At 54.8% G+C, this 16,219-nt stretch overlaps 1 protein-coding gene and 1 long non-coding RNA gene across 10 annotated transcripts in view, besides 3 other annotated features; one reads left to right on the top strand and one right to left on the bottom strand.

The window, feature by feature from the left end:
- Positions 1-12,446, top strand: part of LOC105371291 (uncharacterized) — a 41,734-nt gene extending 29,288 nt beyond the window's left edge. Inside the window, exons 2-4 of one of the 2 annotated variants that reach the window (XR_933627.4) lie at positions 6,434-6,565; positions 7,102-7,260; positions 9,886-12,446. This is a non-coding gene — a long non-coding RNA (uncharacterized LOC105371291). Of the gene's footprint in view, positions 1-6,413; positions 6,566-7,101; positions 7,261-9,885 lie in introns of both variants that reach the window. The other variant, XR_933626.4, reaches the window with a different exon arrangement.
- Positions 546-16,219, bottom strand: part of ADGRG5 (adhesion G protein-coupled receptor G5) — a 48,117-nt gene continuing 32,443 nt past the window's right edge. For 4 of the 8 annotated variants that reach the window (XM_011522949.3, NM_153837.4, XM_011522950.3 and 1 more), the window contains exons 2-12: positions 15,578-15,679; positions 15,276-15,351; positions 14,488-14,644; positions 13,756-13,887; positions 12,585-12,701; positions 10,984-11,136; positions 10,144-10,265; positions 9,611-9,879; positions 7,200-7,317; positions 2,643-2,920; positions 546-2,297 (exon numbers count right to left, since the gene is read on the bottom strand). In XM_011522949.3, coding sequence (XP_011521251.2) covers positions 2,197-2,297; positions 2,643-2,920; positions 7,200-7,317; positions 9,611-9,879; positions 10,144-10,265; positions 10,984-11,136; positions 12,585-12,701; positions 13,756-13,887; positions 14,488-14,644; positions 15,276-15,351; positions 15,578-15,679 — 1,625 coding nt within the window. In that variant the 3' untranslated portion in view covers positions 546-2,196. Of the gene's footprint in view, positions 2,298-2,642; positions 2,921-7,199; positions 7,318-9,610; positions 9,880-10,143; positions 10,266-10,983; positions 11,137-12,584; positions 12,702-13,755; positions 13,888-14,487; positions 14,645-15,275; positions 15,352-15,577; positions 15,680-16,219 lie in introns of those variants that run through there. The other 4 variants (XM_047433776.1, XM_047433777.1, NM_001318481.2 and 1 more) reach the window with 3 other exon arrangements.
- Positions 1,231-1,300: a silencer, noted in NCBI's record as "silent region_7533". NCBI's record gives its function as "represses an Ori minimal core promoter by ATAC-STARR-seq in GM12878 lymphoblastoid cells {active_cell/tissue: GM12878}" and the evidence as "EXISTENCE:reporter gene assay evidence [ECO:0000049][PMID:35858748]".
- Positions 2,347-2,516: an enhancer, noted in NCBI's record as "experimental_43740 CRE fragment used in MPRA reporter constructs". NCBI's record gives its function as "activates a minimal promoter by MPRAs in K562 erythroleukemia cells, with activity observed for the introgressed 16:57609216 variant allele {active_cell/tissue: K562}" and the evidence as "EXISTENCE:reporter gene assay evidence [ECO:0000049][PMID:34662402]".
- Positions 12,807-13,308: an enhancer, noted in NCBI's record as "H3K4me1 hESC enhancer chr16:57598339-57598840 (GRCh37/hg19 assembly coordinates)". NCBI's record gives its function as "activates a minimal SCP1, AML or CMV promoter by ChIP-STARR-seq in naive H9 embryonic stem cells {active_cell/tissue: H9 hESC(naive)}" and the evidence as "EXISTENCE:reporter gene assay evidence [ECO:0000049][PMID:30033119]".

The following is a 16,219-nucleotide window of genomic DNA, read 5'->3' as shown; positions in this document are numbered from 1 at the left end:
CCTGTGTCCCCACTCCCTGGGGCTGCCCAAGAGAAGGGCTAAAGGTTCCCATAATTCCTCGGGACCCTCATTAGCAAGGGGACCCCCTGCCCCAAGGCCTGGAGAGCCTGGGCTTAACCATGGGAGCTTGGATGGGTGCTCACATCACCCAGATGGTGGCAGGGGTGGGGAGAATCTGCCTGGAGTTAGCGTGGGAAAGAGGCCTTCTCTAGGCACCGCTGGGGCAATTTTGTAGATGTGATAAATGACCACCAGGAATTTCTATAGACCGGAAGATTGGGGAACTGGGAGGTCGGGGGACATGTGGCATGGCCTGGAGGCTGCACTGTGTGGGGACTATTCCTAGAACAGCAGAAAGTCAGCGAGGTGGGAGTAGAGACCCGTCTGGGGAAAGAAACTGAGGCATGGTGAGATGTGCCTAAGAAGGGGTTGTGCCTACAAGGTTGAGCAGAGCTGGGCCTGGGGCTTAGACAGGCTGGCCTCTGAAACTCAGTTAACACTGTTAACAATAATAGCAAAAATACTAATGATAATACCAGTAACCATTTACTGAGCACTTACTCTGTGCCAAGTCTCTTTATTTGAATTCTTTTACTTAGTCTTCAAAATAGGTACCACTATGGCCTCTATTTTACAAATAGGAAAACTGAGGCACACAGAGGCTGAGTGGTTTGTCCACAGTCTCACAGCTAGCAAGTGGCAGAGCTGGCATTGGAGCCCAGGCAGCCTGGCTCCAGAGCCTACGCCACTCACTGCCTGGTGAAGGAGTTATTTGCATCTAGAAATGTACAGAAGAGCAGAAGATGTCCCAGGAGAACTTTTCCCCAGGGGAAATCCTGCTCCTATTTTCTGCCTGTGACCTTCGAGGTCATCAAAACGGCCCAGTGGCCTGGGGCAGGGCCCTGAGCACCCACCACCTGAGCACCCTGCTCTGGTGCCAGCTATGTCTGGGGTGCAGCCCCCAAGAGCGAAAGTGCACCGCCGCATTGGGAAAAGAGACAAATGGCCGTGTAAGCGTGTCTTGCCTTTCCTCCTGGAGGAAATGGGTCACTCAGTAGGCGCAGTCCTGCAGTTACGGCCCCTCCAGCTGGTGCATGGGGTCTGCAAACAGGTGTTTGAGCGATTCTAGATGCAGTCTTGGCGCCAAGGGCCTCTGAGTGTGGACCAACGGTGCCGCCTAGTGTTCGTTCTGGGAAACGCACTGGCTTCATGAGCACTGTCTCATGAAGGTCTGGGGTAAGGGTGATTCTCTGAAACTATGGCCTGAGCTTCGAATTTAAAACCCACACTCTCACGCCTACCTGGGCAAATTCAATCTTGCCCAATCACCAAACAGCCAGGACACTGGGATCCAGCTGATTCAGCTGGAGGAGAAAGAAGCGTTTTCCTCTGCCCCCAAGAAAACTGCGGGATGGGCTACTGGTCCAGATGGTCTATGGAAGTCTTGGGAGCACCGCAGGAGGAGCCTCTGGGAACGGCGGAACCTCCCAATCTTTGGGAAGGGTGGGCTTGGACTTGGAGTCATCATAATTTAGGGAGTTAAAGGAAAAGAGGCCTCAGGCATAGGCCAGTAAAGTCTCAGAGCCTGGGTAGGTCCCACCCGCCCCAAGCCAGGATGCCATCTGGCCCTCCCCTGGAGGAAGGTGGCAGGGCCAAGCAGGTGCTTCCAGGGCAGCCTGAATGAGATCCTGCCCCTAGCAAGCAGGTGGAGGCCGCGGGAATTCCCACCCCACGCTGACACTCTTCCCCCTGGTCTTATGCAATTTTTACTAAGCTCCTGGGTTAGGCTGAAACAAAGCCGCTTGCCCCCATGTCACAGCTGTGGATACCTAGGGTCTGTGAGAAGTGGCAGGCCCAAGGTCATACAGACAGACTCAAAGACAGTCCTTGAAACTTGGCTTCCTGATGCCCAGGCTGGTGCTCTGCCCACATCCCTGGCGAGCTGGGCCCAGGTACCAGGACAAAGTTTGCTGCCCCAGGTAAGGTTGGATCTGCCCCGGAGCAAAATGTCAGGGAGAGGTAGAGCAATGCCTTCCCCTCAGTGCCTGGAGAGGCCGTGGAAGTGGAAAAGGCCCCTTGGCGGTCACAGTGGCCTCTGGGGTCCAGCAGCAGGCCTGCCACCCTCTCTAGCAGGAGCCGTAGCCTCAGGCTACTGGCGGCCAGAGAGGCTGAGGATTCCAGGCCAGGAGGCCCGGACTACTGTGTTGTTTGGGAGGAGCTGAAGGCCTCTATCTGTGCCTTGGCCTCTGCTTCTGAGCGGCACCGCTGGGAGCAGAACCACAGGAAAAGGAAGAAACCTGCAAGAGAAAGGCGGGAGTTCCACGGGGCAGCATGGGCTTCCCCAAAGGCCAGGGTCTCCTTGGCTGCAGCGAGCTGGCCTCCCTGGGGCCCATGGGCAACTCCCAGAATCTCTTACTGTAGGAGGCCAGAGGGGCAGAGCCTCAGAGCTGGAAGAGCTGCTGTGGCCAGTCCATAGGGTACCTTCATGCAGATGTAGCCCCCACCAGCTTAGCTAGTGGAGCTGTGGGCTGGATGTTAGTCCCCCACTCGCCCCCTTCACCTGAACCCCTTTAGCAGTGAACATCCCACCAGCCATACACCCCCTGCCAGGTAGCTTCCTCCAGGCCGCCCTCCAGCCCTACCGTAGAGCGAGTTTAAGATGGTGAAGAGGAACAGCTGGGGCAGCAGGAAGACGCCAAAAGAAAAGAAGGCCAAGGCCCAGGTGGTTCCCAGCAGCACGGTGAGGCCCAGCACAGTGACAGTGTCATGGCAGGCCCTGACACTTGGTGCATCCGCCCGCTCCCGCAGCCTGCGCAGGGTCCACAGCGCCCAGGCCAGCACCACCAGGTTGAAGAGGGACGTGAGGCCGCCGTAGCCCATGACCAGGACACTGTGCACCACGGGGCTCCGCACCCAGCATCTGCAGGGGAGGGTGACGTGTCAGGCTCACAGTGGCTCCCAGGCCCGCGGGGAGGCCAGCATCACTCCCTGAAGCCCCACTCGGTCTCCTGGCTCAGGCCCTATTGTTTCTTGCCTGACTGAACACACAGTGAAACCCCTCACCCGGCTTTCCAGCCAGGCCACCATCAGAGGACACATCTGCCTCCTTGGTCAACAATCTGAAGCTCCCTCATGCCCACCTTTCCAGCCACAGTGGTTTCTCTCACGTCCCCATGTCTTCACCCCCCTGAAAATTCTTCCTCTCTCCTTTCCACATCTCACTCCTCTCTGCTTCCATGGCCAGCCCAAGGCCGGCATGCCCCATCTTCTATTGGATCCTTGGCCCGGAGCCCTCTTTCCTGGAAACTTCCCCTTCCACCCCACTACATGGTTGTCACCACCTCATCACCATCTCTGCAGTGGGACGCCCCTCCCCAGGAGCCACTCCCCACCTAGACGGGGCCACCAAGGCCTGCGCTGGAGAGTGGGCGGGCTGCCAACCTGTGGCTTGGTGGACAGGGACCCTCCAAGTGTCAACCTGAGAGCACACAGAGCCGCAGGAGAGCCCACTGAGGGCTGAGCAGAGAGCCATGGAGAACTAACCGAAGCCAGCCCCGGTCCCACGCCCTCCCGGAGGCCTCTGCCCTTTGCCTCCCCAAGACACCTTCAAGACAGATGCCACCTTTTAGTCGGACACAATGTCATGCTGAGGCAGGAGAAAAGGGTTTAGAGACAGGGAAATGTAAGGACTTCCTAGAACTAAATCAAATGGAGGCCAGGCGCGGTGGCTCATGCCTGTAATCTCAGCACTTTGGGAGGCCGAGGTGGGCGAATCACTTGAGGTCAGGAGTTGGAGACCATCCTGGCCAACATGGTGAAACCCCGTCTGTACTAAAAATACAAAAATTAGCTGGGCGTGGTGGCAGGTGCCTGTAATCCCAGCTGCTCGGGAGGCTGAGGCAGGAGAATCACTTGAACCCGAGAGGCAGAGGTTGCAGTGAGCCGAGATCGCACCACTGCACTCTAGCCTGGGTGACAGAGCGAGATTCCATCTCAAAATAAATAAAAATAAATCAAATGGAAACACTTCAGCTATGACAGAAAATATCCTCTCCATTTACATAGGGCATATGCCAAATGACTTTGTAACTTTACTTCATCCTCCTCATTTACAGAGGGTGTACATCAAGTAACCAATGGAAACCTCTAGAGCATATTTAAATCTCCACAAATTCTGTAATAGGGCTCTTGAGGCCCTATGCTCTGGCCCACTCCCACACTGTAGCGTGTACTTTCATTTTCAATCAATCTCTGCTTTTCTTGCTTAATTCATGCCTCACTCTTTCCTTTTTTTTTTTTTTTTTTTGAGAGGGAGTCTCTGTCACCAGGCTGGAGTGCAGTGATGTGATCTTGGCTCACTGCAACCTCCGCCTCCCAGGTTCAAGCAATTCTCCTCTCTCAGCCTCCTGAGTAGCTGGAACTACAGAATCCTGACACCACGCCCAGCTAATTTTTGTGTATTTTTAGTAAAGACAGGGTTTCACCGTGTTGTCCAGGTTGATCTCGAACTCCTGACCTCAGTTGATCCACCTGCCTCGGCCTTCCAAAGTCCTGGGATTACAGGCACGAGCCACCATGCCCAGGCTTGTCCAATTCTTGGTTCAAGACGCCAAGAACCTGGACACCCTCCACCAGTAACGATGTGCTTTATGTGACTTGTCCCCTGCAATCCCCATGACAACCCATAAGGCAAGTACATAATCGTCCTCATCCTGCAGATGAGGAAACTCAGGCTCTAGCTCAGGAACACAGTCCAGTTAGAGGCAAAGCTGGATCCTGAAGCCCCAGGCCCAGAGCCTGAGCCCCTAACTGTCACAATCCCCTGCTGAGGTTCACTTTGTGGCTCCTGCCCCTACAGTCACAAGGGTCCCAGGACATTATTTTGGGATTCCTCCAAGTTGATGAGTGTGGTAGGCGACCACTCACTTTCACCGCTAGGGAATATCCCCACGGGGGCAGCTCTACTGCAGTCCATTCATCCAGCATCCCGTCAGTGGACATCTGAATGATTTTCAAGGGTTGTATTTGTTTTGTTTTGTTTTTTGAGACGGAGTCTCGCTCTGTCTCCAGGCTGGAGTGCAGTGCCGCAATCTCGGCTCACTGCAATCTCCACCTCCCGGGTTCAAGCGATTCTCCTGACTCAGCCTCCTGAGTAGCTGGGATTACAGGCACCCGCTACCATGTCTGGCTAATTTTTGTATTTTTAGTAAAGATGGGATTTCTCCATGTTGGCCAGGATGTGTTTTTTATTTGTTTGTTTGTTTGAGTCAGAGTCTCGCTGTCGCCCAGGCTGGAGTGCAGTGGCGATCTCAGCTCACTGCAAGCTCCACCTCCCAGGTTCACGCCATTCTCCTGCCTCAGCCTCCCGAGTAACTGGGACTACAGGTGCCTGCCACCACGCCCAGCTAATTTTTTGTATTTTTAATAGAGACGGGGTTTCACTGTGTTAGCCAGGATGGTCTTGATCTCCTGACCTCATGATCTGCCTACCTCAGCCTCTCAAAGTGCTGGGATTACAGGCGTGAGCCACCACGCCTGGCCTGTTTTTGGTTTTTAACTGATGTTTGGGTTTAGGAATGTGTATATACATAGTAAGAGATGTTTTAAATTAAAAAAAAAAAAAGTCACAAACCCCAAGGTAATTGTTTCCTGAGAGGAGAGGGCAGAGTGAGGAAGACCCAGGGAGAAGCTGGCTCGTAGGTGGGTGTTCTCTAACATCTGTGCATTAGTGGGTCCTGTGGACGTGTCACTAAAGCTCCTTTGTCCTCATCATATTATTATATAAGAAAATAGGCTGGGCATAGTGTTCACGCCTGTAATCCCAGCACTTTGGGAGGTCAAGGCAGACGGATCACCTGAGGTCAGAAGTTGAGACCAGTCTGGCCAACATGCTGAAACTCTGTCTCTACTAAAAATACAAAAATTAACTGAGCGTGGTGGCACGCGCCTGTAATCCCAGCTACTCACAGGAGAATCGCTTGAACCCAGGAGGCAGAGGTTGCAGTGAGCCGAGATCACACCATTGCACTCCAGCCTGGGCAACAAGAGCGAAACTCCATCTCAAAAAAAAAAAAAAAAGAAAAAAAAGAAAATACATCTTCAGAGAGTATGTAAACTGAGGCCAGAGCCTCTATTTCCTCATCTGTAGGTTGGGGATGATTATGTACTTGCCTTATGGGTTGTCATGGAGATTGCAGAGAACAATTCATGTAAATTGAAGTCACATGTCCTCTGATACACCCGAGCCTCAATGTGAGAGGGATCAGCCCCACCTATGTAGCACGCAGTCCCCCGGCCCTGCTTCAGGGGCTGGGGGCCAGGCTCTGGACCAGCCTGCCGGAGACCAAGCCCCAGCTCTGCCACTGACTGGCTAGGGCTCCTCAGGTAGAGTTCTTAAGCTGCCTGTTTCTCAGGTGCCCTAACTGTAAAATAGGGCTGGCAACAGGACCCGGCCCTTGCCCTTGTGAAAACGAAGCCAGCTGATACCCAAGGCCTGCCACAGAATCAGCCCCCATCCTGAGCCTGCATCAGCCAAGAAGGAAAAAGGTTCCACAGCCAACTGCAAGTGAGTGATGGGCGCGCGGGGGTTCCTTAGGCTAGTCTATGTCTGGCTATTAGAAATGTTGCATAATAATAAAAAGCTTAACGTCCTCGCCTGCAGGGAGGGGCTATTAAAAAAAAAGCAGCAGCGTGTCCCCCGGCCCCTAAAGGCCCACCTCGCTGCCTCTCTTTGTCTCCCCCAAGCCCAGCCCCCACAGCACTCTTGTCCGACTAGGAGGACTTGAGAGGCCTGGCAGTGCCCAGGGCAGGTCGGGAGGAGTTGGAGCCTGGGTAGGTGCAGCAAGGTGGTCTGCAGGGGAACAGAGTCAAGTGCAGGCTGAGCCAGACCCTCAGGGCCTGGGCACTGGAGGGCAGGGCAGGACAGAGGAGGCGGGAGGCCCGGCTGCCCTGGCAGGTTGGCGAGCAGACGCTGGCTTCGTAGACTTCACCAGCATAGAACACAAGGCTGCCTCTGCAGGAGACCTGGATCCATGGAAGGGATGTGGTGGAGCCCCCTGCAAACTCCCCTGTCTAAGCCCCAGCTCCCTCTCTGCCCCACAGCCAGTGCTTTGCCTACAGGATATTCCATTTGGAGCCCCAGGCCCATGTGGCCCTTCTGCCAGAGCCAGGGAGCCCACTGCAGCCCTGAGGGCACTCACATGGACATGTTCTGGAAGCCTGTGCCATTCTCCCAGCTGTCGAAGACGGGGATTGTGCAGGGTCCGTATACCGAGCTCTTGACAGAGAGGGAAAGCAGCACCAGGAGGGCTGGGGCCCCTGAGGGGTGGGACAAAGGCTCAGGAGATGTGGGAGAGGGCTGACCCTCGGTCCCTGGGGCGGTCCCTGGGGCTGCTGACACAGAATTTCACTGGTCAAGGGACAACTGAGAGGAGACTGTTGTGAGCCCCCAACTTCAGAGCAATGAGCCTGGTGGTTTGGAGGAAGCTCTCCTCCAAGATGATGTTAGTGACGGCTCTACGATGGAACAGTGGTGGAGGGAGGAGTGGTCACACTGGGAAGGTGGTGGTGGGGAGCAAATGGGAGGGAGGACTGGGGAACTGCTGAGGAAATAGAAATAAGCAAGAAAGGGGCAAGGACGGTGATGAAGGTACCAGTGATGGTGCTGCTGGAGATAGAGAAGGTGGAGGAAGTGATGATGGTGGAGATGGAGGTGGAGTAGGTGGTGATGGTGGTGAAGGAGGTAGAGAAAATGAAGGCGGTAATGGAGGTAGAGGAGGTGATGATGGTGCTGATGGAGGTGGAGGAGATGGAGGTGATGATGGTGATAGTGCAGGTGGAGGAGATGATGGTGATGACAGAGGTGGAGAAGATGGAGGAGGTGACGGTGATGATAGACGTGGAGGAGGTAATGATGATGATAGAGGTGGAGGAGATGGAGGAGGTGATGGTGATGATGGAGGTGGAGGAGGTGACGATGGTGATGACAGAGGTGGAGGAGATGGAGGATGTGATGACGATGGTGATAGAGGTGGAGGAGGTGATGATGGTGGTGACAGAGGTGGAGGAGATGGAGGAGGTGATGATGGTGATGATGAAGGTGGAGGAGGTGATGATGGCGATGATAGAGGTGGAGGAGATGGAGGAGGCGATGGTGATGATGGAGGTAGAGGAGGTGATAATGGTGATGATAGAGGTGGAGGAGATGGAGGAAGTGATGGTGATGATGGAGGTGGAGGAGGTGATGATGGTGGTGATAGAGGTGGAGGAGATGGAGCAGGTGATGATAGTGATGACGGAAGTGGAGGAGGTGATCATGGAGGTGATAGAGGTGGAGGAGGTGGTGATGGAGTTGATGGAGGTGGAGGAGGTGGTGATGGAGGTGATGGAGGTGGAGGTGGTGGTGATGGAGATGATGGAGGTGGAGGTGATGATGATGGAGGTGGAGGAGGTGATGATGGAGGTGATGGAGGTGGAGGAGGTGGTGGTGGAGGTGAAGGAGATGATGGTGGTGGTGAAGGAAGTGGAGGAGGTGGTGGAGGTGGAGGAGGTGATGACGATGGTGATGAAGGTGGAGGAGGTGGTGATGGAGGTGGAGGAGGTGATCATGGTGGTGAAGAAGGTGGTGATGTACGTGGAGGAGGTGATGATGGTGGTGATGAAGGTGGAGGAGGTGATGGCGATAACGGAGGTGGAGGAGATGGTGATGGTGGTGATGGAGGTGGAGGAGGTGATGGTGATGATGAAGGTGGAGGAGGTGATGATGGTGGTGATAGAGGTGGAGGAGATGGAGCAGGTGATGATGGTGATGACGGAGGTGGAGGAGGTGATCACGGAGGTGATAGAGGTGGAGGAGGTGGTGATGGAGGTGATGATGGTGGAGGAGGTGGTGATGGAGGTGATGGAGGTGGAGGAGGTGGTGATGGAGGTGATGGAGGTGGAGGAGGTAGTGATGGAGGTGACAGAGGTGGAGGTGGTGGTGATGGAGGTGATGGAGGTGGAAGAGGTGATGATGGAGGTTGAGGAGGTGATGATGGAGGTGATGGAGGTGGAGGAGGTGGTGGTGGAGGTGAAGGAGATGATGGTGGTGGTGAAGGAGGTGGAAGAGGTGGTGGAGGTGGAGGAGGTGATGATGATGGTGATGATGGTGGAGGAGGTGGTGATGGAGGTGGAGGAGGTGATCATGGTGGTGAAGAAGGTGGTGATGTACGTGGAGGAGGTGACGATGGTGGTGATGAAGGTGGAGGAGGTGATGGCGATAACAGAGGTGGATGAGATGATGATGGTGGTGATGGAGGTGGAGGAGGTGATGGTGATAATGAAGGTGGAGGAGGTGATAATGGTGGTGGAGGAGGTGGAGGAGGTGATGGTGATAATGAAGGTGGAGGAGGTGATAATGGTGGTGGAGGAGGTGACGATGATGATGATGGAGGTGGAAGAGGTGATAAAATTAGTAACATAGAAAGTAGAGGTGGGTGTAGACAGAGTTCACAGCTGGTGGTCATGTAATGGCCACTATGACGATGAGGAGGAGGGGAAAGAAAGGACTAAAGGGGATCAATACCCTGCCCACCTGGAAGTCTGAGGAGGCGAGGAGAGATGATGTGCTTACCCCAGCCTAGCACACCAAGCTTGAACACATATCTGCGGATGTAGATGTTGTAGACACGCCCGAGGAGGAGGTAGAGGTTGAAGCCCTCGATGGCCATCCAGGTGAGGCAGCTGAGCAGCGCGTAGTGCAGGGCAGCGGCCAGAGCCGTGCATGCTGACCCGGGCACAGGAGACATTGCGAATGCGGGGCTCAGCAGGAAGGCGATGTTCAGGAGCAGCACGGAGGCATGCAGGTTCATGTGGATGCGTGTTAAGGAGTCACTCTGCTTCCTGCAGGTGAGAGAATGGTCCTCCATGGCCCAGGGACATCACCCAGGCAGCACTACCCACTGGGTGCATAGGTGCATGCCGACAGGGAAACTGAGGCGAAGAAGGGGCAGGGATCCCACAGCAGTCGCACCACAAGGCTGGTCTCCCGCCTCCTGGTCCCCACCCTCTGGAGAAGCACACCCAGTTCTAGTGGACTAAATGGGACACAAGGAAGCGTGATGTGCCACAGTGCAGGGCAGGCCCAGCACTGTGGCAGCGGAATACCTGAAATGGAAGTGCAGCAGGACTGTGATCAGCGAGGCCACGATGGAGATGCTGCAGCCCACGAGGGAGATGTACGTAAGAGGTGCCAGCAACTCTGCAGGGACCAGGGCTGGGGAGAGTTGCTGCAGGAGGGAAGAGGGGCTGGAGGCCAGAAGCATAGTATCGCCCTTCCTCCCAGCCTCAGTCAGAGGGACCTCCTGAGGCCTCCTCTCCAAGTCCCCTTCCCCACAAGCCTAGCCATGGACCTGGCTTGAACAAGGCCATGGCAGATACAGTCAGTTTTGCCCCCTCCACATCTCCCATCTCCCTCTTCTTCTATGAGTGCCTCCCTTCTCCCACTCCCTATGCACCTGTGGGGTTCCACCACTTTGCCCTCTTTGTGCAGAAAGGGGTGCCAGGCCTGGTCAAGCAGGGCCCTCCCTCCTTCTGCCTATAGCGATTGGGTCAGGGATGAGCACATGGCTGGCAGAACTGGGTAAAAGAAGATTTTATTCCACTGGCCTGAAAGCTAGCAGGGCATGAGCCTGGAACTGCTGCCAGCTATATTATTATCTCATAAGGAGATCCTATTTGAGGGCTAAGCCAGCACAGAGCAAGCACAGTTGAGGGACAAAGATAGAGTGCTATCTTAGTGATCTTAGTGATCAGCCCGTGGATCAAGCCATGCCTGAAGCCTAACCCAGCCTTTCCAGAAACATGAGTCCATAAAGTTTTTTTTGTTTTTTGCTTAAGCCCATTTCAGTTGGACTTTCTGTCCCTTGCACCAGCTTTTGCCTTGCTCCTCTGCCACAGACACAGGGCCCTCTGTAGCTCTGAGCCCCACTCAGGATGCATACATACCATGAGAACAGCAAAGTAGGTGAGGTGGTTGCAGCGGCAGAGCACCTGAGAGTGGGAGGGCTGCTCTGTACGACAGCCCTCAGGGCTCCAGCCCCCCCAGGGCTGTTTCCTGGCTCCCTCCTTCCAGAAGACACAGGTCAGGGTGTAGCCTTCCTGGGTGGAGATGCTGGGTCAGTCATAGGGTGCAGAGGAAAGGCTGCAGATCAGTGTCTGGGAGTCCTGGGGGCCAACGGTGACTCAACTGCACATTTGCCAACATTTTACCAGGCACTGGCTGGCCTTTGGCTTCAGACAGTCTCAGATTCCTGTCCCACCTCCACTGTGGGCTCTCAGAGTGACCCAGGCAAGACACCAAGTTGCTCTGAGCCTCAGTTTAGTCATCTACAGAATAGGATCATTCGTACCCATGTTACAACAATGGTGGAAAAACAAAGGGCAACACGGAATCTTGAGTGTCCAGCTCTGGCCTTTTATACAGTAGGCGCTCCATAACCAGCTGATCCCTTCCCTTCCTCCCCATGGGGAACAGCAATGTGCTCAGACCCACGCCTGGTTGGGGGAGACTCATCCACAGACAACCCTAATGCCAAGCCACGTGGGTGGAGAAGTGGAGGAAATGACACAGGTAGTCACGGAAGACCATGGAGGGTAGGCAGAGCTGACCCAAAGGGAGAAGGGGAGGTGGGGGCCCTGAACCCTTAGAGGACGTGTTGGATTTCAACACGAGTAGGGCAAGGGCATTCCAGGTGGAGGGAACCATAGTGGCAAAAGCCCAGAGCTGAAAGGAAAGGATGATGGTGAAATTTAGAGTGCAGGGCAGTCCTGGTGAAGCTGAAGGGAAGATGAAGCCAGAAAGCAGAGGCTCCGGGCTTTTCAGGAATGCCAGGAACCAGAAATGGAGGCACTGAGGCTTGTGAACCACCCCACTCTGCCCCCACCCCCAACAAGCAGCCCTGTCTCTGTTCCAGGATCAGCATCTGCACTTACCCTAGGAGCTCACTCCTTCACCCCAGTCCCTGGGCCGTGTGACCCAGGCCTGGCCAATCCACACATTCCATCCCCCTGGGCACAGTGACAGGTGCAGGGATGGACATGTGTGACCCAGCTGAACCTTTAAGATCCTGAGACCCTGATCTGCACTGGGGCAGGTTGTGGGTGGGGAGTCGGGGGAAGAGCCTGATGGGAAGAGGGAAAGGAAGTCTGGCTCTCCAGCATCCATCATGCCACAGAATGGACAGCCAAGACAGGAGACCATTGCTGAGACGGAGAGAGACTGAGCCACAAGGGCATCAGATCCATCCCTGGATCCAGCTATGTCTGAAGCTGGTGGATCACCTCTAGACATTTCATGGATGTGTGCCAATCAGTTCCCTCTGTGCTCAAGCTGGCTTGAAGTGGTCTTTTCTTACTTGCAACTGAAAGAATTCTGACAAATGCATGAGTAAAAACTTCTCTCTCTCTTATTTCTTGAGCAGGAATTTTCAAAGTGTGATGGATTTCCAAGATGGTTCCACAGGTTTGGGTCTAGTCAAACCAGTGTTCAACAGGAGAGTCACAGAGGGGCAGGGGTGCAGTGGAAACGGGGGCGCCCCCAGCAGTACCAGGCTTTGGTTGTGCCAGAAGCTGATGTTCACAGGATCCCTGAGGTTGTTCACGTGCCCATGACTCAGCTGGGCCCCCAGGACGTAGTTATTCAGCAGAGATGAGTTGTTTTCATCCTGGAAGGGCAGCAGGAGAAGGGCTGAGTGGAGGGGAAATGGGGAGGCCCTGGGTAAGGTCTGAGCTCCGCTTCCCTGGATGAGAACAAGCAGCAAGACTTTCACGTGTGCAGCGTGAAAGCTTTCTCAGCCTCCCAGCCTCCCAGCCTTCCCAGCCTCCCAGCCTTTGCATGTGCTGTTTCTGCCCTGTGGAAAGCTGTCCTCTCACCACCCCCTGCTCCACCTCCCATTCGTTTAATGCATTCCAGCCTCACGCCCTCCACCTCACCACTATCCTCACTCACTTTCAAAGCCAAGGTTGAAAGGCACCTTCCCCAGAAACTCCCCTGGACTGCCCACTGGGAAGAGCCCCAACCCCACCCTGACTCATCCATCACTCTGGATCTCTATGGCTATAATCAACCTTCTGCTGACATTAAATCTCTAAGATCAGGCCAGGCTCAGTGGCTCACGCCTATAATCCTAGCATTTTGGGAGGCCAAGGCAGGCGGATCACTTGAGGCCAGGAGTTCAAGATCAGCCTGGCCAACGTGGTTAAACCCGGTCTCTACTAAAAATACGAAAATTAGCTGGGCATGATGGCACACGCCTGTAATCCCAGGAGGCTGAGGCAGGGGAATTGCTTGAACCCAGGAGGCAGAGGTTGCAGTGAGCCGAGATCATGCCACTGCACTCCAGCCTGGGCAACAGAGCGAGACTCTGCCAAAAAAAAAAAAAAAAATCTGTAAGGTCTTAGTCTAGGCATCAAGACAGAGAGTTATCTGAGGGCAGGGAATAATAAGTGCCTTCTTGTCTGTCTCCCGCCTACCGACAGGCACATCGTAGGTTTCTTAGGTCTTATTTGCAGATTGTAATTATACCTTCCTACCATTCTGCTAAAGTTGGCAGGGAAACTGAGGCCCAGAGAGGGACAATTGCTGGCTTGGATTGCACAGATGGCTGGTTGGTCTCACTCAGTGCTGGTCACCCAGAGGCCAGGCAGTGACATGGGCACCTGCAGTGGATCCCAAGAAGGGGCCGGCACCCACCCTCCTTGGCCCGCCATCACACTGACCTTGAAAAAGTGGGTGTTGGAGAAGTAGATACAGATGAGCCGCAGCTCCCTGGGGCGGGTCTTGCAGGCGTCCCGGGTCAGCTCGGCGGGGAACTGCATGGCGTGCTGACCCCGGGCATGCTGACCTCCTGCCTGCAGAGGGTCGCAAACAGGCTGTTTGGCAACCAGGACCTGGAGACCTGACCCCAACACCTTCACTGCCTCCCACTCCCCGTGAAACCTTCCTTGGGGTTTCCACCCACAGAACCTTCTCCCCCCAGGCTGCATCTCCTCCCAAACTTCCCAAGATCCCAGGCCTTCCCTCCATGCTGTTCCTGAGTTTTGGATGTTTACCTGACCCACTGAACCCCTGAAGATGGAGCTACCTCAGCACCCAGCCCCAGCACCAGCCCCAGCCCCTGCCAGGGATCCAGCTGATCACCCCAGGGTCCTAAAAGGAGCCAGGGTTTCTGGCCTCTCCCACAGCGCCTCCCGCAGCGGGCAGCCTCCAGCCAAAGCAGGAAGAAGATTCTGCCCTGCAGGGGCAATAAAGCACCTCCCTTTCCACAGTTCACACAGCGAGTATGAGCCCCATTTTACAGAGGAGGCAACTCACTGCCAGTTAGGGCAGAGCCTGGACTGTGGGGTGTGGGGAGGAAGACAGTGGAGCCTAAAGAAAGTCCAGACCTTAAATGCCTGGAGGACTTCTAGGGCGGGGCAGCTGGCCACACCCCCCAACCCGCAGCCTCTGACCTGGGGCACCCGCTTCAGAGTGGCACTGGTCAGCGAGAGGCCAGAGAAGTCACAGCTCAGCTTGAAGGCCAGAGACTGGATGGTGGGTGTCTGCAAGGTCAGGTTGTAGCCTGGGAAGCTGGTGTTCAGTAGCATCTGCTCCAGCTGGTGGAGTTGACTGCAGCCCAGAGAGATGGCCAGGGAGGCCAGAGCCCGGAGTGGGGTAAGGGTGAGAGGGGGCTGTAGACAGCCTGGGAGGGCAGGGCCTCCCCACCCACACCTCTGTCACACGCACCTCCAGACCACTGCACACACAGTGTCCTTGGCACACTGTTACCTCCCTACCCCATCTATCCCCTCCTCTTGATTAACTCCTGTTCAGGTCCCAGTTTATTGTCACCTCCTCCAGGAAGCCTTCCCTGACTGCTCCCTCACAGCTTCCCAGTAGCCACTCTTAGCCCTGACCAGTCTTCAGCATTGGCCGCTCACCTAGAGCTGCTCAGTCTTTGGGTCATAGACCCTGGAGAGCCCAGCCAGAATCTTAGACCCCCTTCCCAGGAAAATGCATGGAGACCCATAATTCTGCACTTAGTGTCATGACATCTATGATTAAGGGCCCCCATTCCTCGATGATAAACTTCATGAGGGCAGTGACATGCCCATCCTGCATCCCCAGAGCCTAGTGTCAGGCATGCAGTAGGTGCTCAATAAAAGTGCTGAAGAAATGCACAGTTAAGAGTCTACATTAGACTAACCCTGACCCACTGATTCAAGGTGCAGGCTTGGGGTGGGAGGCACATCCAACTCACCGAGAGGAAAAAACTGAGCTCCGGCCCCTGGACACCTGCATATTCTCCATGTAGCTCAGGAGTTCTTCCCATGTCTCTGTGGGGACACACCTCCCCCTCAGTTTGTGTCTCAACTGCCCTCTGGCCCCACAACCTCTGGGCTTTCCATCCCACCCTGAGAGTCTAGTTCACAAGCAGCTCCTGCTGCCCCCAGGAAGCCTAAGTGGCCCTTTTCAATCTCCCATGGTTTGACGCCTCCCCCTTTTGCATCACAGTCCCACGACTGGGCTAGGGCTGCCCCCAGTTCAGCAGAGCCCCCTTACCTGTTGTTGCATTCTGCAAAGTCAGAAGGCACAGGCACAGGAAAAGGGCACCACAGTGATCCATGCCCTGTGCAGAGTCTCCTCCAAGAACTGGCTCCGGCCCTGAAAAAGGTGCATGCCATCACCATGATGATAAAAGAGCAACCTCTAACTTCTAGGTGTCTGGCATGTCCCAAGAGTAGGACATGCAGCATCTTATTTGACTCACCACTCCTGCATTTCACAGATGAGGAAGCTGAGGATGAAGGGCAAAGGGTCTTGCTTTACTTAAACCTGCCTAAAGCCAGGTCTCTAAGACTCCAGAATCCTTGACCACCAAGTAATGGCTGCCATTAGCAGCTCCGCCTGATACACTCCCCTTCCCAAAAAGCAGTCTTTCTGGGGGCTTCCCCAGGATCCCAGTCTCTACCCAGGGGGACGGTGTTTGGGAGAAAGCAACAGGTAAACCCCATCCAGCCCTGCCATTAACTCATCGTGCGGCTTTGGGTAGGATCTGTCTCTCCTCTGCCCTCATTTTCCTCCATTTTAAAATGAACTAATAAACTTCTGCTTCAATAGAGCAAATTTATGTCTGCCCCTTAAAGCCCCACTAAAATGAGAGGGAATGAATAAAATAGGCACAAAGCCACAGAACAATGGGAA

The sequence above is a fragment of the Homo sapiens genome, chromosome 16 (assembly GCF_000001405.40).
Source record: "Homo sapiens chromosome 16, GRCh38.p14 Primary Assembly".
Classification (NCBI taxonomy): Eukaryota; Metazoa; Chordata; class Mammalia; order Primates; family Hominidae; genus Homo; species Homo sapiens.
Note: the sequence above shows the minus strand (reverse complement) of the source record. Positions and strands in the feature narration are given on the sequence as shown.